Source organism: Homo sapiens, chromosome 5, assembly GCF_000001405.40.
Source record: "Homo sapiens chromosome 5, GRCh38.p14 Primary Assembly".
Classification (NCBI taxonomy): domain Eukaryota; kingdom Metazoa; phylum Chordata; class Mammalia; order Primates; family Hominidae; genus Homo; species Homo sapiens.
The window spans coordinates 173,516,622-173,539,480 of NC_000005.10; the positions used below are offsets into that span (position 1 = coordinate 173,516,622).

Genomic DNA, 22,859 nt, shown 5'->3' on the forward strand with positions numbered 1-22,859 from the left:
AGTCTCTTGTAGTTACTGTTGTTACAGTTATTGTGCAGCTTGAGATAAGTGGCAGCATTAGACTGGAAGCTGAACCCCTGACTCTGATTGCCTACATTGTCCCATATTATCGAAGACTGATTAGAGAGTTACTTGTGAAGATGGTAGCAGGAAAGTCTTTCTTGGGCAATGCATCTGTTGTGAATATTTCAGTAATAATTTATAGAAAATTTAAACTGACTAGAACAATAAAAGGACCTTATTGGTTCATATTACTGATCAGTCCAGAGGTAGGGCTTACTTCAGGTATAGGTTGATCTAGCATCCGAAACCAACAATCTCCTTTTCTTTCTCTCTTTCTTTCTCTCTCTCTCTCTTTCTTTCTTTCTCCCTTTCTTTCTTTCTTTCCTTCTTTCTTTTTCTTTCTTTCTTTCTCTTTCTTTCTTTCTTCTTTCTTCTTTCTTTCTTTCTTTTCTTTCTTTCTTTCTTTCTTTCTTTCTTTCTTTCTTTCTTTCTTTCTTTCTTTCTTTCTTTCTTTCTTTTCTTTTCTTTTCTTTCTTTCTGTAACTCTCTTCATCCCTCAGTGTAGTAGTCAGTTTTGTGTTGCTATCATGTAATACCGGAGGCTGGGAAATTTATAAAGAAAAGGGGCTTATTTGGGGTTCTGTAGGCTGTACAAGAAGCGTGGCGCCAGCATCTGCTTCTGGTGATGGCCTCAGACTGCTTGCAAGGAATTTGCCCAAAAACCAGGACTATCTCACTAATTTCTTCATATTGAGTACATGCTAAAATTATAATATTCTGGAATATTGAGTTAAACAAAAATATAAAATTATTTTTGCTTGTTTCTTTATACCTTCTAATTTAACCAATATAAAGCTTAAAATTAAATATGGAGCTTGCATTATATTTCTGCTGGGCAGTGCTGCTTGAGGCAGAACGATTCTGGGATTGGTGAGGTGGGGGAGATATGAAGCGTCCTTGTGACAGGGAGAGTACCTTTGTTCTAGGTTCCTGCCCCCTTGTATTAGTCCAAGGCTCACACTCCATTTTATCTTATTTTAATATACAGTAAAATTCACTTTTTTGGTGTTTTATTACTTTTGACAAGTGCATAGAGATGTGTAACCATCACCACCGCCATCAAAATACAGAACTATCCCGTCATCCACAAATAACTACCTTTGTATTAACCCTCCCCCCTGCCAGCAGCCACTAATCTGTTTTGCATCTCTATAGCTTTGCCTTCTCAAGAATGTCATATAAGTGGAATCACACTGTGTGTAACCTTCGAGTCTGGCTTCTTTCACTTAGCATAATGCATGGTAGATTCATCCATGTTGTGTGTGGCAGTAGTCCATTGTTTTGTTGTTATACCATTGAGTAGTATTCCATTATTGGATGTACCATAGTTTGTTTATTTGCCAGCTGAAACACATTTGAGTCAAGGTTTCCCAGAGAAAGAGAACCAATAGGGAGAGAGAGAGAGAGAGAAATGTGGAACCACCACTATCACTCTCTCTGTAGAGAGAGAGTGTCTGACTTGGAAGAGCAAAAGTTTTTAAATGTGAGGAAGTCCAATGTATTATTTTTTTCTGCATGGATTGTGCTTTTGGTGTCAAATTTAAGGACTCTGCCCAATCCAAGATCCCAAAGATTTTTTCCTAGAATATCTTCTTGAAGTTTTATTGTTTTAGGTTTTGCATTTAGGTCTATGATTTATTTTAACTTTTGAACAGGTGTGAAGTAGGAGTCAAATTTCTTATTTTCTTTTTTTGACACGTGAATGTTCAATTGTTTTAGTAACATTTGTTTAAAAAGATGATCTTTTCTTTAATAAATTCCCTTTGCATCTTTCTTACAAATCAATTGGCCGTATTTGCATAGGTCTATTTCCGGACTCTCTATTCCGTTCTACTGGTCTTTGGGTCTCTCATGTATACATAGCTCTGTCATGTATTTCAGCAACTGCTGTGCTGTGTCTTCACCCAAATTAGGATGTAACTCTTCCCAACTTACAGGATAGAGCTGGCATTATTTTAAGAAGTTTGTAATTCCATACGTGCACAGATTATTTCTAAATAACCCACGTCAACACTTAAGGGTAGCATTTTTCTATTTCTCAACCCACAGAATCAGTTGGGAAAGACATGTGGCTGTTTTCCTATAATGACTTGATCTCTTTTAAAGATGTTCCTATTCTATTTTATTAGGATTAGAAACAATCTTAGTCATTTTGGGGTCTCCCTCTGGCTCTCCCAGGGTCGCATCTCATTCTGAGGAGCTGAGGTTGTGCCCTGGCGTCAAGAGGAGAACAGCCCTCGGCGCTCCTGTACCATGCAGCAGCCTCAGAGACAAGGTCATCCCTACCCGCTCCTTGGCTGTCAGTTCATGCAGTCATCATGCAGTCTCTTGGTTTATCCCACACAGCCTGTTCCCACATGCCAGCAATGTGGAATATTTCCATGCCCCTCTTGGGGACCTAGGAGTTAGATAACACTCCTTCGTCCCTCTGGGCTGTGAGAAACTGCATGATATGATCTTGAACTCCTCTACCTAGATCTACACACTCAGATACCTCTTCAGCTCCAGCTCCATGCTGGCAAGGGCTGCCTTAGGGTCCTGCCAGCTGCTGGGCTCTTCAATAGGGAAGGGGGCACAGGTACCCTGAGCTCTCAGATCATGAAACCCACTCGTCAAACAGTTTTCTCAACCTTGTTTCTGGACTCACCCTGGGTGGTGGGCAGGGCGAAGAGCCTCTTCTTTCACACCTAGCTTCATCCAATGTCTCTTTCTGAGTCCTTAACCCCAATCCAGGCATGCTGCCTCGTTCTATAATTGGAAACCTTGCTGTGCTGGGCTTTTCCATCATTATGCAATTTCTGAATTTGTGTTCTGAGTCCTTTCTGTGGCCCTTTTACTGGAAGGGTCTGAATCTCCTTTGAAACGCATAAACTAAGAATTAATTTCTTCATTGCTGGTCAACACTACCTGGCTGGAGAGAATGCTTGTAGTCTTAGTGCCTAGACAGAGAGAAGGATCAATGTGAGAGAAAAGACTAGAAAAAAATAGATGTACTCTCATCTTACAAATATATGTTATGCTTTGAGATTAGGAAAATACATATTTATCTATAAGTGCTATTAAAGTCCTATAAGCTTATTGTTATTATGTATTTCTCAAATAATTCAAAGTAACATAAAAATAATCATCCTGAGTGAAGTCTTCAAATGTTTTGGCATTAAAAAGGGATACACCTAGTCAAAGAGTTGACAGTTATTACCATAACATATCTCAAAATCAAATAATTGTGGACGAGGGTGTTTTGCATACATGTGTATATGTGTCGTACAGAGTTTACATCCCTTTTTCTTGTGTGGGTAATTGTATAAAGTTACATTTCAAGAGCTAAAATGCTTTTGATGATTCAAGAAAAAATGTATTAGAATAAAAAACCAACTTGCATATTTGAACAGTTTTGTTGAAGTATAATCAGTGCATAATAAACTATGTATATATGAAATGTATACTTTGATAAGCTTTGGCACATGTATACACCTGTGAAACTATCACCATGATCAAGATAATGAACATGCATGCTTCTACTAAAAATTTCCTTATGCCCTTTGGAATTCCACCCTCACACCCCTCCCGACCTCTCCACACCTTCCTCTCCCCCATCACCAGGGAACTACTCATCTGCTTTCTGTCACCATACATTAGTTTGCACTTTCTAGAGTTTTATATGAATGAAATAATACAGTATATACCCTATTTTTGTAGTTTTTTTCACTCAGCATAACTTTTTTGAGCATCATAATATGAAGCCAGATTTACCCTGATACAAAACCAGAGACATTACAATAAAGAAAACTAGAGACTAATAGCTCTCATGAATATAGATGAAATAATGCTCAATGAAATATTAACAAATTGAATCCAATATTATATATAAATAAAATAAATGTAACTCACCATAATAAAAAAGAAAATCTACATATGAAGCACCTTAAAGTTTTCTTCATATTTCTTGTGCTTGGGGTTTGTTGTGTTTCTTAGATTTGTGAGTTTCAGTTTTAATCAAATTTGGAAAATTTTTAACCATTATTTTCTCATATTGTTTTCTGTCCTCATCCTCCTCTATTAGAATTCAAATGACACATAGGCTACTTTAAGTTGTTCAAGTAGAAAATCCTCTCTGATTTTTAAAAATATTTTTACTTCTGTGTTTCATTTTGCATAATTTCTATTGTTGTATCTTCAAGTTCACTAACTTTCTTTTTTGCAGTGTCTAAACTGCCATTAATTCTATTCAGTATATTTTTTATTTCAGACGTTGTAGTTTTCATCTCTTGATGTTTGTGTCTTTTTTATGTTTTCTGTGTCTCTACTTAACATATTTAATGTTACTTATAGTATTTGAATACATGGAACACAATTATAATAACCATTGACATGTCCTTTTTTTTTTTTTGAGATGGAGTCTCACTCTGTTGCCCAGGCTGGAGTTCAGTGGTGCAATCTCGGCTCACTGCAAGCTCTGCCTCCCGGGTTCATGCCATTCTCCTGCCTCAGCCTCCTGAGTAGCTGGGACTACAGGTGCCTGCCACCATGCCTGGCTAATTTTTGTATTTTTAGTAGAGATGGGGTTTCACCTTGTTAGCCAGGATGGTCTCGATCTCCTGACCTCATGATCCACCCACCTCAGCCTGCCAAAGTGCTGGGATTACAGGTGTGAGCCACCGCGTCCGGTGACATGTTCTTATCTAATATTTCTAGCATCTGTGTCATTTCTGAGTCAGTTTAAATTGATTTTTCTACTCCTTAAGTGCCATGTTTTTCTGCTCCTTTCCATGCCTGATAATTTGTGATCAGATATCAGACATGAATTTTACCACCTTGGTTGATAGATATTTTTATATTCTATATGTATTTTTGAACTTTACTTTGAGATGAAGTTATCTGGACACAGTTTGATCCTTTAAGGTCTTGCTTTAATTTTTTTTTAGGTTAGACTAGAGAAGCATTTTGTCTAGGACTAATACTTCACCACTTAGGTAAAATCCTTCCTAGTGCTGTAACCAATGCCCCATGAAATATGAGATTTTCCAGTGTGTCTAATTATAATAGGCATTGTTCCCACTAATTTTTTGAATGGTTCTTTCCCCAGACTTGTGTAGTTTCTTCACACACATACCCTGATTAATATTCTGCTAAATACTTAAAGAGACCTTCTACAGATCCCTGGAGTTTTCTCTGGGCAGTTTTCTCCTGTGTTGTATTGTGCCCTGCAAACTCTAGCTGCCTTCATCTCCATAGGCTCTTGGCTTTATCTCCTCAACTCAGGGAGTCCTCTAGGCTCTGCCTTGTTCTCCCCACAACTATGTCATATCCTGGAAATGCTCTCGAGGCAATAGGGTGAGGAAATATAGAGCTAGACCCCTGTGTTTTCAGTCTTGCAGGGGTCACTGTCATTTATTGCGCGGTGTCTTCTATGATTTGAATGTTTGTGCTCCTCCAAAATTCATGTTGAAACTTAATCCTCAGTGCAATAGTATTAAGCGGTGGAGTTTTTAGGAGATGATTAGGTCATAAGAACTCTTATGAATGGGATGAATTCCCTTATAAAAGGGCTTGAGGAAGTCTTTTGGGTCCTTTTTGCCCTCTTCCATGTGAGAACGCAGTAAGAGGCACCATCTATGAAGCAGAGAGTGAGCCTTCAGCAGACACCAGATCTGCTGGCACCTAAGGGATATTGGACTTCCCAGCCTCCAGAACTGTGAGAAATAAATTTCTAATATTCATAAATTACCCAGTCTAAGGCATTTTATTATAGTAGCAGAAAAAGACTGAGACAGTGTGCAATGTCTTAAAAGCCATTGTTTCATATATTTTGTCCAGTTTTGTAGTTGTTCCAGGCAAGAAGGTTAATCTGGTCCCCTTCCCCGCCTCATGGCCAGGAGTAAAAGTCTATTCATGCATATTTTATTCTTTGGATTCCTATTCTATCTGGATTACTGTTCAACTCTTGGGTTATGTTGAGTTGTAAAGCCCCTGATGGTCAGAGTGAGTTCACAATGTTCATAAATACTTCAAAAGTGAGAAAAGAGGACACATCAGGCCTTTTACTTTAACTACTTGTTTTAATCATTTTAGCATTTTAAAAGCATTTCCAAAGTACAATGATTGCATGGGGCCCTGAGGGAGATATAGTTCCAGGCCAATGAATGTTCTAATGAAGTTTTATCCTGAGAAGGAGACAGATTTCTGATCTTAGAATTTACTTTAATAATACAAACTAAACTAGTTTTAAAAGTTTTTAAATGACATAAGGACTACAGAACCACTGTAAAAACCTTGAAATAAGTGGAAGTTAATAAAATTAAAAGTGAAAACTTTTTCTCTGACGCCTGCTAAATCTTACTGCCCAAACAAAAATCATTATGATAAAATCCTTGAAACATTTTTCTATCATTACTGAACTGTGGAAGTGAGAATTTACAGGTGCGTTCTGTTTTTAAAGACCATTGGCTCTTCAATAAACTTGGTGTGTAAGAGAGAAATCATCCCCTGTCCCCCTCACTACTCTGCTGTCTGCTCCATTGCATGAAACTTCTATCCTAATCAGTGAGTACTCAGGCACCAGGTTCTTCCGCCTAGGACGGGGGGACCTCCAGAATGTCCGTTTCTCATCTTAAGCACTGCACAATGGTGGTAGTGGAGACAATCTTGTATACAGAATACTAGATTGATTCAGTGGCATTGCGTGCTTCAGTTTACCTCATCTTCTTTTCAGATAGGCTTGGAGCTAACTAGAAAAAGCTTGAAAAGTTCTTTGGAAGTGGAAACCGTTTCAGAAGACCTGGAGTCTTTCTCATCATGGTAGTCTGCAGACCCAATCAATCTATGAGAAACCCAGCAGTTCCACCTCACTGCTGCACACTGATTCCATTACCCAGGGCTTCTGGAGGTCTTCATTCATCAAGGCCTGTCTGCTCTCACTGAGTGCGCTACTTTACCCCAATGTTATCACAGACAACCAGGACTATATTAAACTTGTCAAAGTAAGAGTCTTTTAGAGGGATGGAACATCCTGAACTTTTTTTTCAAATGGAGACATTTTCCTGTTTCTTGAGTGTGTTAAGAGGGACAGGGGTCCCCCACCTTTAGTTTTTGGCCATAACAGAAAAAAAATTTTGATAAAGATCAGATATTATTATTACCATTTAAATATTTACCTATGAAATTTAGTGAGTGGCAATGAAACTTCTTGGCATTTAATTTTTTTGATGTTCTGCCATTGGGAACTTATCTTTGCAACACTTTTTGTTAAGAGATGTCATGATTCTGGGTTGGAGGAAGATAGGAATATCTAAAATGCTATGTCATGGTTCAATTGTACAGAAAAAAATAAGGTAAACATGAAAAGAAAATCCATTTGACCATGGTGTTTGTGGCTATTTCCTTCTGGCATCTCAAGGGTTGCGATGTAAGGTACTTAAATCAACAGCCAGTGGATGACTTTTTCCTTCACACTCCAGAGTGAGTCTCTGCTCAGAAACTCTGACCACTCAATCTGAAATTCTCCTCGTCTGTTACTGTCTAAATTCCTACCTTGCTTTATTTTCCTTTGTGGTACTTATCCCCACCTCAAGTTATGTGTGTTCATGTGTTTGCTGTCTGCCTCCCTACTAGAGTGTCAGCTCTACAGGGCAAAGATATCAGCTGTCTTCTTCATTATGCTGTATCTCTAGTGGCTAGAACAGTGCCTGGCAGGTGGCAGCACTCAGTGAGTAACTGTTGAATAAATAAATAAATAAGTCAATAAGTGGATGAATGACTTCTAGAGAAGACAATTTAATTTTAGTACACTACTTTGGCCAACACGAATAATATTAATATAATCATGTTAAGGTAAATGTTGTAGAGCGAATTGAAGTTGGAATGGGAAGTGCAAAAGCAAAGCCTGGGGAAAGAGAAGACTATTAACAGCCTCAACTTACAAAGTGGGTAGTTGAGATGTAAATGAGAAGAGATGAGACAAGAAAAAGAGGTTTAAGTCAGTTATTTAAAGTTGTAAAAGTGCTCCATTGATAAAATACACACACACACACACACACACACACAATCAAACTTTGGGAGGCAGAGAGGGACAGCAAAAGGGTAGTAGAATTGAGACACATGTTCATCTTTTATATTAGGGTTAAGAGATATTATTTAGAGTTGATAAAGCAAGGAAAAAGGACTAAACATATGTTCTGGAGTAGTCAAGGCAATGAGCTAAATAACTTTAAATGGAAACAGTGAACATACATCACATCGGTATCTAAACATGTTGCTCCTCTCCCATCTTAAAGCAAATTGCATTTGGCCTCTGATCCCCACTTAGCTTCTGTCCTATATCTCTGATCCTCTATAAAACAAAACTCAAAACTCCCTGATATGATTTGGCTCTGTGTCCCCACCCAAATCTCATCTTGAATTGTAATCCAAATTGTAATCTCCAGGTGTAGTGGGAGGTGATTGGAGCATGGGGGCGGTTTTCTCCTTGCTATCCTCATGATAGTGAGTAAGTCTCCCGAGATCTGATGGTTTTATAAAGGACTGTTTCCCCTGAGCTCTTCTCTCTCCTGTCACCTTGTGAAGAAAGTGCTTGCTTCTCCTTCACCTTCCGGCATGATTCTAAGTTTGCTGAGGCCTCCCCAGCCATGTGGAATTGTTTGTCAATTAACCCTCTTTTCTTTATAAATTACCCAGTCTCAGGGAAGCTCTTTATAACAGTGTGAAAATGGACTAATACACTCCTAATATCTACTTTCGCTTCTCATATTCCCTTTTAGCCCCTCCAATCAGGCTTTTGCACCTCATTACACCACCAAAATCACTTTGTCCATTTCGCCCTTGGCCTCAATGTTGCTAACTCCATCCATCAATGCTCAGTCCTTGTCTGTTAGGCTGCAAGCAGCACTTTCCCCAGCTGACCACTCCCCCAGAAACACTTTCCCTCTTGGTCTCCTCTTCTGAAGTTCTGCCTCCACCATTGGGTGACTCTTTTAGTCTCCGGAAGAATGTCCCATGACTTAAAGCCTAGCCTCTTCTCCTTTTCTAAGTATACTCGGGACCTGGTTTTCTCAAGCTCATAGCTTCAGTACTATTCATAGCCTCTCTCCTGTACTAATGGTTTCTATGTCCAACTGCCTGCCTGATGTGTCTCCTTAACACCAAAACTGAGTTCCTGATTTTTCCTGAATCCTTTTCCCATGCTTGTTGCCATTTTAGTAAATACAACTTCATCCCTCTAGCTGCTCAGACCAAAAACCTTGGAGTCATCCTTAATTCCCTGTTTTTTTTCCCCAACTCACTTATAATCTAAGTCTAAATCCTGTCAGCTATACTTTCAAAATATATGCCAAATACGACACCTTTTCACCATCTTCACCAGTCTGGTCTAAATGGTCTAGTCACCATCATCTCTCACCTATTGTAGAAGCCGGCTTGCAAGATGGCCTCCAAAGGTCCTTATTTCCTGGCATTCATGCTCTTCTATAATTTCTTCCCATGCCCAATCTGAGCTGGTCTGTGGGGCCAATAGAATATGGAAGTGATGGTGTGTGACTTCCGAGGTTAGGTCATAAAAGATATAAGCTCTTCTGCCTTGCACTTTTGAATCACTCATGCTGTGGAAGCCAGCCACCATGTTGTGAGAACATTCTAGCAGTCCCGTGGAGAGATCCACGTGGCAAGAAACAGAAACTTCCCAGTCAACACCAGCACTGATTTGTCAGTCATAAGTGAGCGATTTTGGAGGCAAATCCTCCAACCCTGGTAAAGTCTGTTTCTTCTGAGAGTGTAACATCATAAGGTTACGTATTTCAACCTTATGAAATACCCAAGCCGGATCCGTTAAGCTAAGCCACTCCAAAATTCCTGACCCATAGTAACTGGAAGACATAATAAATGTATATTATTGTTTCAAGCTGCTAAATTTTGGAAAACCTTGCTTCCCAGCAATGGATGCTGACACTAATTGCTCTAAACTAATCTTCCTATAGTTTATTCTCCATCCAGCAGCCAGACTGATACTTTCAAATGCAGGTCATACCATAAAATGGAAAATACACTGGATGGGGTTATTGGCAGATTAGATATTGCAGGAGAAAAGATGAATGAACTTGAAGGCACAACAATAAATTGGGCAAAATGAAACATACAGAAAAATAAAACTGAAAAAAAAGTCAATAGAGCATCAGTGAACTGTGAGCCACCTCAAGAGGCTCTTGGTGTTGGAGTGTCTGAAAAAGAAGGAGGGACATAAATAATATTTGAAGAAATAAGTTTGTCATATGTGACAAAAACTGGAAACCAACAGATCCAAAGTCCAGTGAACCCCAAGCACAGGAAACATGAAGAAAATGACACCGTGTTGCTGCAAGTTGCTTAAATTCAGTGTAAAAGAGAAAATGTTAAAAAGCAACCAGAAAAAAATGGAAACAGTAAGTACACTGGACTTTCAATGAGATTCTTGTTGAAAAAAAATAAGCAAAAGACTTTCCCAGACATTAAAAGGTAGAGTTCATCACCAGCAGATGTGTACCACAAAAAAATGCGGAAGGAAGTTCTTCAGGCGGTAAAATGATAGAAGGTGGAAACCTAGATCAACATAAAGGATTGATGAGCAGCAAATGTGGTAATTACATGTGTAAAAACTAAAGATTCTTTTTCTTATTATTTAAGTCTTTTAGAAGATAATGGAGCATTTACAGAAAAATTATAATAACAAGTTATTCTGTTTATGACACCTGGAAAAGTAAAATGTCTAATATTAGTAGCATAAAGGTCAGGAGGAGAGAAATGGAAGTATACTTTTGTAAGTATACACTGTATGTGACATAGTATAATATCACTTGAAGGTAGACTATGATACATTTATTGTAAATGTATGACCATCACAAATAGTTAAAAACAGAGTCAGAGCTAATAATCCAGCAAGAGGGCTAAAAGAGGATCATAAAAAACTACTCAATGAATGTTAAAAAAGGCAGGTGACACCTTGGACTTGTGATTTCTAAGTGGAAAGGTTCTGCGTGCTGCGTCAGGGCTCCAGGCCTTCTCTGTAAGTGATGATGAGAGGCTGGGCAGTGCGGGAGGATGCTGGGCAGTGGCAGCCACGGCTGAGCCTCGAGGTATCTGGGCAGGCAGAGTGGCAGGAAGAGAGAGGCACTGTCTGGGGTGCTCAGAGGCTAGGCCGGCTGCCCATTCATCCACAGGGCTGCCCTGCTGCAGGGAGATGCACCCAGGGGGCTCATGCCGGCAGCTGTTGACTGGGGCTGTTCCAGGGCCTTGGGAGCAGAGCAGGGGGCCCTGCTGACACAGACCCTGTAGAACAGTAAATCCTGCAGGCACAGGACTTCAGGAGAAAGGCTGCCAGCAGAACGGAACTCCAGTTCGTAGAAGGTTGCATAGAACTTGTCCTGTCCTCGGCTTGCTAAAAATCCTCTCCTCTTCTCTTCGTCCTGGCAGACACTTCTGTAACTCCAGTACAAGCCTGTGGATGGTGAAGGGAAAAGCACCCTGCCCTACGGAACAGCCTCTTAGCCCTCTCGCCACAGAACTTATTTGTGTGGTCCCACCCCCCATTTAACACTCCCAGGACAGGGGCCCCAGGCCCAGTGGCTTCACCCTGTTTCCCTGACTTGAAGCTGGTTCACAGGTCAGGGGCTGGAACCTTCCCTCAACCACCCCCTTTGAGTCACTGTGGGAGGCAACCTTTCTCCTTGGGGACCCTCTTTTCCTGCTGTCCTCCTCATGGATCCCAGCAGGTCTCCACCCCTAGCCTCTCTGGAATCCATTTCCTCTTGAGTGGAGGCCATGATGAGGTGGGCAGGGTTGGGGTGGAGGGTATCTGCAAGCCTGACTTCCTCCCAGCCCACTCCCAGCCTGGGCTCTCTCCTCTTTGGGCCCTGAGTGCCTGCTCACCACTTGCCCTGCAGGCGAAGCCCACCTAGCTGGATGTGTGCACATCCAGGAAGTGGGGGTGAAAGCCACCTTGCTGCTATATAGGAAACAGAGTGCTCGCAGCCATGGAGTCACATGCTGGAAAGGGAGTGCTGTGGACTGCATGTTTGCATCCCTTCAAAATCCATATGCTGGAACCTAATTCCTAAGGTGACAGTATTAGGAGGTGGGGACTTTGGGAGGTCATAAGGATGGAGCCCTTAGGAATGGTATTAGTACCCTTATAAGAAAAGATGACAAAGAGATGATCTCTCTCTGCCATCTGAGGGCACACAAGCAGGTGGCTGTCTCCTAACCATAAAGAGGGCCCTCCCCAAAAACTCCGTCTCAAAAAAAAAAGTTGTACGTATTTTGGGGGATACATGTGATATTTTGATTAATGATTAATATATACAATATGTAAGGATCAAATCAGGCTAATTGGGATCCCCATCACATCAAACTATTATCTTTTCTTTGTGTTGGGAACATTTGAATTCTTCTCCTCTAGCTATTTTGAAATATACAATAAATTATTATTATTATTTTTATTTATTTATTTATTTTACAGAGTCTTGCTCTGTCACCCAGGCTGGAGTGCAATGGTGCGATCTCAGCTTACTGCAACCTCTGCCTCCTGGGTTCAAGTGATTCTCCTGCCTCAGTCTCCCGAGTAGCTGGGATTACAGGTACCCACCACCACACCAGACTAATTTTTGTATTTTTAGTAGAGATGGGGTTTCACCATGTTGGCCAGGCTGGTCTTGAACTCCTGACTTCAGGTGATCTGCCCACCTCGGCCTCCCAAAGTGGTAGGATTACAGGCGTGAGCCACTGCGCCTGACCTAAATTATTGTTAACTATGATTTCCCTACTGTTCTATCACATACTATGAACTAGTGCTATCTAATTGTATTTTTGTACCCATTAACTAATTTCTCTTCACCCCCTCACACCTCCTCTGTTCCTGGCCTCTGCTAACCATTCTATTCTCTACTTCCATGAGATCCACTTATTTTATTATTATTTTTAGCTCCAACATATGAGTGAGGACATGCAATCTTTGTCTTTCTGTGCCCGGCTGTTTCACTTCACATTGAGCTCATTCCTTTCTAAAGAAATTTCCTCAAAGTTGCTATCAGATTCACTGCCCTCATTCTCTCCCTCCTCCTCCCCCTCCACTAAGAACTCCAATTTTGTTGATGATGGTTCAAAGGTAATCAGGGCAATCCTATCCTCCTTTGTCACTGATTGGTCTGGGGGCAGGTGTGCTTCCCAAATCTGATCAATGAGATGTGAGAAGTCTGTTAGAAGACTTCAGGAATTTTTTTTTTCTCCCTAATAACAAGATGGAGTCCAGGCCTCATAAAAGAGAGGGCCTTTTGTTCCATGCATTTCCTTCACGCTTAGGCTGCTGCAAGTGAGCATGTGGTATTTGAGGCTGCAACAGGCACCTCGTGACCATGAAGGACGGCCTGTGTTCAGATGGGAAGTCCTGAGACCTTAGCATCATAGGTCTACCTCTGTACAGCCCTGCCTGCCTCTGGGCTTCTTGCAAAGTGACCTTATAAGGGTCTATATTATTCTAACCACCCTCCATTTGATAATCCATTACTTGTAGCTGGAAGTATTCTAACTGCTGCACAGGGTATCCAGGCTAATATGACCATGCCTGCCTCTAACCCTTTAAAATCCATTCTATATAGGTAGCAAAATTCTCTTTCTGCAATAAGACCTCAATCACATCACTTCCCTTATCCAGAGTTGGCGGCAGCTCCTAATGGTCTATCAATTTGAGTCCCAGCTTCTCAGCAGGTCTGGCTTGAATGGAGGACCTCTCAGCTGGAGCCCGCAGTGAATGAAGTCACAGTGAGCATTTCTAAGAGGCCTTAGAGGTCCACATAGGTACTTGTTACACTGAGCATAAGTAGCTGCCACCATGACCCAGATAAATCGTTTTCAACTCATCATCACAATCCCTTAGGGGGCTTGTTATGAATAGATGGTTGGTCCTCACTGTCAAAGATTCTGATTCAGTACATCTGGGGAACAGCCCAATAATTTGCATTTCTGACAAGCTCCCAGGGGATGCTGATCTGCTGGTCCAGGGACCACCCTTTGAGAACCACTGGCTCCCTGAATTTCTCCCCTCCACCCTGCTGCCACCAGGGGCCCTCAGCATTCAGTAGGAACTGCACTTACATTCATTGTCAACCCACAGCAGGAATGAAGGCTAAGTGCCGAGGGGAGGGGCTAAAGAAAGAGAAGTACTTATGGAGTACCTACCACATTCCAGGAACTATATGGGCAAGCGATTTGATGGTGAGCACAGGCAGATATTGCTCCTGCGCTCATGGAGCTCACAGACGAGTGACTAGACAAACAGCAAGTGAACAATTAAGGAAAACATGCTCAGATGTTTTAGGATCTGTGTAAGAAACACAGGGGGCTGCCTTACACAGGAGACCATGGAAACCCTCTCTGAGCAGGTGACTCTTAAGTTGAGAGAAGCCAAAGTGATGGGGAGAGGGAGCAATTCACAACAAACTAGGAAGAAGAAACAAGATGTTCAAAGGCCCTGAGGTGGGGACGAGCTGAGTATGGCCAAAGCTCAGAAAGTCAGATCGGCTGGGGATGGGGGAGCAAGGGGAAGCGGCATGAGATGCAACCGGCGAGTAGGCAAAGAGAAGCAGCATAGACGGGGATTCATAAAACACACCACAAAAGCCCTGCCAAGCACATGCTGTCTCTCCACTGAATGTCAGCGCTATGGCAGAGAATCCTCTATTCTGCCATGGGGCCCAGGACACACACCATCAGCATGAGGTGCCCTCTTCCTGGAGTCAGATACCAGACATGCCACTCAGAGGCCCGGGAGGACGGTCCTGGTCCCACCCAGGATGTGGAGAGAAAGCAACTGGTTGTGGCAGAAATAACATGGAATCTGGGAAAGAAGAGCTGGGTCCAATCCTGGTTTTTGTAGCTGCAGCCAAGTCCCTTGTCCCCCCTTGAGCCTGATGGCCTCTCTGGAGAACGTGGATTAGAATGCCATGTTTGTCACCTCATGTGTACAGGCTCTTTGCATCTGTAAAGGATTATTTTGCCAGTGCCTGTTCATCTATTTCAATATTCTAATGAAAAATTCACAACCAAACCATCTGGCCACCCCAACCTACTATGTGCAATACATGCTGTATTCTTCTGGTGCTCAAAGGGGCATGGGGACACTTGGCCCATTTGAAGAAGGCAGGAGGACTTGGAAAAAGTCTCCCGGAATCACATTTTCACTGGCCTGGAAAAATGTCCCTGAATATTTTCTGATGGAGGCCTTGGAAGCTCCCTAGAGTTGAACAGGAATAGTCCGCGGCAGACCCACGTGTCTTGTTGCTTCTGAACCTTTGGAAAAATTAGGAGCAGGTTCTCCTGGCCAAGAAGGAATGCTTTATGATGTGCTGACACCTCGAGGAGATGTCACAGGGAGCGCCAAGTGCCATCTCCGAAGCATGTGAGTTTATGGCTTTCTCTTTTTCACGCTCCGGGAATGCAGACTCCTCCTATGCCTGCTGCTTAGAACAAAAAGGAAATCTGTGAAGAGTCACCTTTGCCCAGGCTCAGGCCATGCCCAGGCCCATTCCTTGAGATTTTGGCATTCAAAGGAAAGAGCAAGTCCTCTCCTGGCTGCACACGCTGCTTCCCTCCAGCACTGCTGCGGCTCCAATAAAGGGGCACCGTGGGCGTTCCCTGTTGAAGGACACGTCAGAGCTCATGAGCAGAGCCAACTCAGGCCTGGGTTCCAATTCTGGCTCTGTCACTGTGAGCTATGTGACCTCGGCAAACCGCCTTGTTTTCTCTAACCTTGAAATAGGGTGAATGGAGCATACCCTCTAGAGTAGCAATCAGATAGCTACTAGTAGATGGTTATTGACTGAGGTAGCTGTTATTGATTGAGAGCTTCAGCCACTGTGCTAAACTACTCCTGTGAATTATTTAATTCAGTATTCACAAGATTCCTATGACATAGGCACTGTTTTACAGAAGAGCAAATGAGGCTCAGAGCCATTAGGAAAGTGGCCCAAGGTCACACAGCTGGCAGGATTCAAATCCACCAGACTGCAGGGCTGACCATTGTACTGAGAGTCTCCTAGGTTTTCTGTTGAACCCTTGCAAATGTCAGATGTTACTGTTTAAGGAGCCTGGCTACAGGCGTGACCTGAGATGCGGCTCCATGCTCACTAGTTCCCTTGCCATATGCCCATCTGCTGAGTAGAGAAGTCAGAACAGTAGACCATGGCTGCGGGTACTGAGGATCAGAGCTGGCAGGGAGCTCAGAGAGGCCCAGCTCCCACAAGCACCTGTGCCAGGTTTAGGCTGATTCCCCTGAGATATGGGCCTTCAACACTCCTCTGAGTAGCTTTTGTTTTCTTAGGCTTGAACAGGAACCTGCCAGAGCTGAGCATTTGATGGTGAGGAGCTTGGCACCCGCTACGGGATAGTCCTGGGCAAGTTAGTTTGACCTTCTGAGCCTGTTTTGTCATCTGCAGATGGGGCCATGATAGTTCTTATTCTTCAGGGCCTGAGATGGAGCATATAGAGCTCGTAGCATCACATCTGCTATACAATAAGCACTGAGCAGAGGGGAGCCTTATCATCCTATCCTGAAGGCTCCAGACAGAGGGCAAAACAAGGGTGGGGAAGCAAGCCCTCATTATGAAAATATTCTAGGACACAGAAAGGCAAAAGTCAAATAAAGGAAGACCCAACTATAATTTGACACGCAGCAGGCCCTCCCTGGCCTTTGTGTTCTTCTTCTTTGTTTATCTATTTTGACCCTTCCTTCTAAATGTATCTAACCTTTTCTCAAATAAAGCAAGAAGTCCCTTCCCCACTTCGCCCCGAGGGACATGTGAGAGATTCTAAAGATGCTGTGATGTCCAGCTTCTTCTGAGAAAGGCAGAGCATCCCATTGCCAAGAGCATGGGCTGTCCTGAACTCTAAGTACCCTGGTCACAGTTTGCTGTGTGTTATGTTTAAGGCACATAATTAGTTGTGCCTTTTTCCTGAGGTCTTAAAAAAATTCTTAAATTCCCACAGAGTCTCTTTAAATCAGCTAAACAGTAAATTCTTTTTGCATTAACCTTAAGGGAACTGAGTGGTTTGTAGAAATGTCTCTAAGAATCAATCATTTTCCCGGGGCTGAACTCTGTTTTTGAGTCTACATCACCAAGAATTCCACCCAAGAGGGCAGCAGAATTATATTGCCCAAGGACAGCGATACAGTATCCATGGCCCTTGCTGACAGCACCCTGATTTTGTTTAGAGCAGCAACAAACTCAGTTTCCAGTGGCAGACTCACTTTCCCAGACACCCTTAGAACTAGGGGCAGTCTCGTAACACCTGGTGGACAAGGAGATGTGCACATCGGAGAGCTTTGGGAGCTCTTTGGAAGGTGTGCACTTTCTCCCTTCTCCCTTATTTCTACCTTGAACACAGACATGAGGTGTGGAACCAAAGCTGCCATCTTGAAAAGACTATGAAAAGCTGAAGAGAATGGAAAATAAGTTGTCCTGACATCCCTGAGCTGCTGGACTATCCCAGCACTTCCTGCTTCCAGCTGTATGATAATGTGAGAAAAACAAACTCCCTCCAGGCTGCGGTGGGAGTTGGGTTGCCTAGATGGCTGAACTGCTCTGGGGCAGATACATGAAGTGAGGCCATTGTGGGGCAGGGGGAACCCCTAGATATGAGCATCCCACCTCACCCTGGGCCTTTCATGTCCCACTGGGGAAAAACTTGTTTAAGTCACTTTAGTTGGATTTTTTTATTACTTGCAGCTTGAAGTATTTCTAAGTGGTAAGCAGAGCTGGATGTAACCTTTGAAAACCGAGGTAGGGCAAACTGGGGAGTAAATTCAGGGCTGGATTTTCCTCTTTGATCATGGTCTTTCCACTCCTTCCGAGTTAGAGATTGGCTAAATCACCCTTGGAAAGCAGCAGAGTATATCCAGAAAATCTAGATCAGGAAGTTTGGATAGGTCACAGACAAGACACATCTAGAAAAAGCAGTGAGGGTCCCTGTGTCATACATTTGCAGCTTTTCAGGGGAGGATGTCCTCAGAGACCACCCAGATCCTCATCTCTCCTCCCCTCCTTGGGTTCCCATTCGGCTATGTCAAGCTATGTTACATTACTCACCATTTCCTGAACATTTTGTGCCTTGGCTAAGCCATCCGCTTGTCTCCAAAGCTTTCATCATCCCTTCTTCCACTCCCCTTTTTGGCTCATCCTTCAAGACCCTACTTGGTGACCTCTTCTGTCAGGTCCTCCTGATCACCCCCATGTGTCCCCACCCACACAGGATGTATTGCTCCTTCCCCTAGGTCATATCAGAACTCTACTCTGACATCTTTTCTAGCTCTCCTTCATCCAAGAAGTGCTTGTTCCTTGGAATAGCAGGATAGGCAGTTGTTAGCACATGATACTGTTATTCATTGTAGACACATTTATTTCACCCAGCAGAACAGGATTTCCTTCAGGACAAGATCAATTTATCATGACCACTTAGATTTTTTTCCAGAGCCCAGTGTGGTACACAGAAGACAGAAATCAGGACTTAAATGTTCAAACTTAGTGATGCTCAAAGTGTGTGCATGGGAATGTGGTTTCCTAGGAAGACTGCAGAAACTGCACACCAATAGGATTCCATGGTCAAACAGATGTAGAGAATGCCAGAGTGCACAAGGCCACAGGTCTCTACTGCCAGGTTTCTCAAAGCCTTAACCACTTGTGAATCACCAAGATAGAGACTGAGTATGCAGGCTTGCCCCAGTGGATTTGACCATGGGATTTCTTTCTCATGGAGAACCTCAAGGGGCTAAAGTGTGGAGGAATGTGTTTTGGATGCCCAAAGTCAGACACTCATTCATTTTAAAAAGAAATAATCATCTGGTTCCTTTCTTAAGGTTTCCTAGCTGGTTGGAGGGGTAGATGGGACCTAAGATTGAGAGTTCTTGAAGGTATACCATGGGAGACCTCAGGGGTCATCAGATAGATGGTCAGTGAACTGTGGTTGACAGGCAACAATTTGAGGGGTCAAGAAGACCTGGGCTCAAATCTGGATTTTTCACATACCTGAGTCACATAAGCAAACACTCTAGACTCTTTCAGCCTCAGGTTTCTCATCTTTAAAATGTGGCTAATAATACCTATCTCACACAGTACTTGTGATGTCTCAAGGCTCAAACATGTATCAAAGGCTCAGTAAATGGTCGCTATGGAAGCCAACAGCATTCTCCAGGCTGCCTTGGATGTAAGGACAGATCCTACAGATATTGGAGGTAAACATTAAAGAAAAGTTAACATCCCTTTGGGTACACATTCCAAAGGTGCATAGAGATATAGCCAGGAAAGGTTCCCAGGTGAGAGTAAGAACTCTCCAGGCCGATGTTACCAGTGGAACAAGGGGCTGGTTCATTCTGGAATCTTCCTTCCTATACCTGGGGGCTGATGCATGAACCAACATCCCAACATTCCTTGGTCCTTGAAGCTGGCTTCCTTCCCCATCCTGGTGGCCATCTGTCTGAATAATCTGCACTCCAGGGTGGGTGGATGTGACATTCCTGTGACCCCACATTCCTCTCCTCCTCTTCAATCCACCTTAACCTGGTCCCTGCTCACCTCTTTAGCTTTTTTTCCCTTCACTCTTTCTGTCACTTAGTGTCTTAAGAACACTGCCCCTCCTTTACTTCCTGGCACCCTCAGGGCTCCTCCCTTGTGTCTGGAAGCCTTCCCTTCTCTTTGATGGTCTCACTCTTCCTTCAGGTCTCATTTCCAATGTCAGGCTCCTAAGAGAAGCCTTCTCTAAGCACTGCCATGATGAGTCACTCCTTTGTATAGCTTCCTCTGCTTTTTCTTCCTACCACACACTATTAACAACGATATACTTTAGTGATCTTTAAAAAATAATGTCTACCTCTCATTCCTAGGAGGGAAGCTTCATGAGGTGTGCTTTGCCTCATGAAGGGAGCCTCATCCCGGGGGCCCCTCATCCCGGGGGTCTCAGTGGAGCTGAGCACACCCATAGTTACCCATCAGATATTTGGTGAAGGGACTGATGCATGATGGGCTCTAGACAACATTTTTTGTTATTTCGGGGGTCCACGGATCCCCCAATTTTCTGAATGAGATCGCCTCCTTCATGGGTTTGGAAGGAGTGGACTGGAAACGATGGCCAAGGCTGCTTCTTCCCAGAGAGGGTTGTTTTTTTTCCAGCCTTGGCGTGTGAGTGGCCAGACACAGGAGTCTGCAAGAGGCCCCATCGTCAGCAGGAGCCTGGACCTCTCACACTCCACAGGGGACCTTTGGGCACCCCGGGAGAAAATTATCCCAACCTTTAATAGAGCATTTTCTGAACACCCAACACATTTTATTTTTAGACACTGCAAATTTTGGAAAAACTTATATTTTCTGTTTTGCTTCAGCTGCTGGGAATCTCAAGTTGGATTTGTAGCCGCTTCTTACAACCGAATAAGAGCTAAAGGCTTCCAGCTTGGGCATTAACCACACCCAGGATTCATTTTCCTTTTTTACCCCCATTCTCCTTTTATTCTGATTTCTTACTGTAATTATTCCACATCCTGATGCACGTATGTAACACCGTTGGCCATATCAAATTTTTTTCTGCAGTGATTCAGGTACTTTTTAAATTGCAGTGAAATCCACATAACATAAAATGAGCCATTTTAAGGTAGATAATTCAGTGACATTTCGTGCATTCACAATGCTATGAAACCACCACCTCTATCTAGTTTCAAAACATTTTCATCACCCCACAGGAAAACCCTGAACCGCTTAAGCAGTCACTCCCTATTCCCCTCTTCCCCAGCACCTGCAACCATCAATCTGCAGGCATTGTTTCTATAGATTTGCCTATTCTGGATATTTTATCTAAATGGAATATATAATACGTGGCCTTCTGTGTCTAGCTTCTTTCATTTGGCATAATGTTTTGAGGTTCATTCATATTGTAGCATGCATCAGTATTTCATTCCTTTTTTTTTTTTTTTTTTTGAGATAGAGTCTTACTCTGTCACCCAGTCTGGAGTGCAGTGGCGCAACCTCAGCTCACTGCAACCTCTACCTCCTGGGTTCAAGCAATTCTCCCACCTCAGCCTCCCGAGTAGCTGGGATTACAGGCGTGTGCCACCACACCCGGCTAATTTTTGTATTATAGTAGAGACGGGGTTTCACCATGTTGGCCGGGCTGGTCTCAAACTCCTGACCTCAAGTGATCCACCCACCTCAGACTCGCAAAGTGATGGGATTACACACGTGAGCCACTGCGCCCAGCCCTCATTCCTTTTTATAGTTTGTGTTGATGGATCAACTGGTTCAAAATGTGGGTCAGCAGAAGCTGGGAGCATCAAGGTCCTGCTAACATGTGACAGGCAGAAAACTCCTCCAGGTCTTTACAGAGTACACAACAGAGAGGCTCCCACCCAGAAAACCAGCGTGCCATAGATGGTCCAATATTACATTCCAGAGGTCTTGGGACCTGGGCACGAGCCGCTTCTCTCCTGAGATATTCTCCCGGAATAGACAGAGGTGTCAGTCAGCATGAAAATAACCTTGGCAGAGATCCCCACACCAGAAAGATAGCCACAAACATGTGTGTCAAGGCACATGGTTGTGGGGAGGGGGTTCTAAATTAAGCCTTGGGCTCTGTGTTCTATTGACTTGGGCCTGGTGGGGCCGACCAGTCCGTTCTGCCCCTTTGGGTGCACATCCCTGGTTTGGCAGATGCCAGGTGAGAAGGGTCTTGGGAAGGCCAAGGTGGAGGTGCTGCCAGGAGCTGTGGAATGACTTCCAGCACTCAAGCACTACATCCAGGCCAGAGACAAACCAAAGAGGGAAAGATAAAGGGAAGCAAATGAAGTTCAACTTCTTGAATGGAACTTAGAGAAGCAAATATAATGCCATTTTGGCACATGGAAAGGGTGCCATTAACATACTGACTGATTATTGAGATCAGAGATGATCAGAGGGATGACAGGGAACTGAGTTAGATGAAAATGATTGTAGAAACCACTGTGGGCTGAACCTAATTTTCCTCTGTGATGTAGCATGGTCTTCTTTTTAAATTTCATAATGATGTGAAATGGTGTTTTTGGCATTTGTGGGATGCCTAGGGCTAAGATGAACCTGAGAACTGGCCCCAGCTGTGTCGTCTCTGGTTATGTCAACTTGGGTGCATTTCCTCTCTGACTCTCAGTTTTCTCATCTGTAAAATGGAGATGATAGCATGGTTATCTTGGAGACCTACCATGTGGCTTGAAACTGACATAGCTGAGATGCCTGGCACTTGCAGGTGCTCCTTCAAGTGAAGCTTGATCTCTTCCTCCTTCTTTCTCTTCTAAATATCAAAGGAAAAATAGGCCTTTAGCTGAATACAATAAAGCATAGCTATCAGTGATGCAACGTTACCCCTAATGGTGGGCTGCAGTGAGAAAGCAAAGGAGTAAGACACAGTGAACACCTGTAATTGAGATGGCTTCAAGACTTCAAGTTGGAAAAGATAAAATAAATCCATAAATCATTCTACTATAAAGACACATGCACACGTATGTTTATTGCAGCACTATTTATAATAGCAAAGATGTGGAACCAACCCAAATACCCATCTATGATAGACTGGATAAAGAAAATGTGGCACATATACACCATGGAATACTGTGCAGCCATAAAAAAAGAATGAGTTCATGTCCTTTGCAGGGACATGGATGAAGCTGGAAGCCATCATTCTCAGCAAACTAACACAGGAACAGAAAACCAAACACCACATGTTCTCACTCATAAGTGGGAGTTGAACAATGAGAACACATGGACACAGGA

The 22,859-nt window shown here is 43.0% G+C and overlaps 1 long non-coding RNA gene across 2 annotated transcripts in view, besides 1 other annotated feature; it reads left to right on the top strand.

Annotated features, from left to right (window-relative positions):
• The window catches only part of LOC105377732 (uncharacterized), a 139,446-nt gene extending 131,634 nt beyond the window's left edge, over positions 1-7,812 (top strand). For both annotated transcript variants that reach the window (XR_001743001.1, XR_007059057.1), the window contains one exon: positions 6,776-7,812. This is a non-coding gene — a long non-coding RNA (uncharacterized LOC105377732). The remainder of the gene's footprint in view (positions 1-6,775) is intronic.
• Positions 852-1,603: an enhancer, noted in NCBI's record as "OCT4-NANOG hESC enhancer chr5:172944476-172945227 (GRCh37/hg19 assembly coordinates)". NCBI's record gives its function as "activates a minimal SCP1, AML or CMV promoter by ChIP-STARR-seq in naive and primed H9 embryonic stem cells {active_cell/tissue: H9 hESC(naive and primed)}" and the evidence as "EXISTENCE:reporter gene assay evidence [ECO:0000049][PMID:30033119]".
• Positions 7,813-22,859: the final 15,047 nt, after the last annotated feature.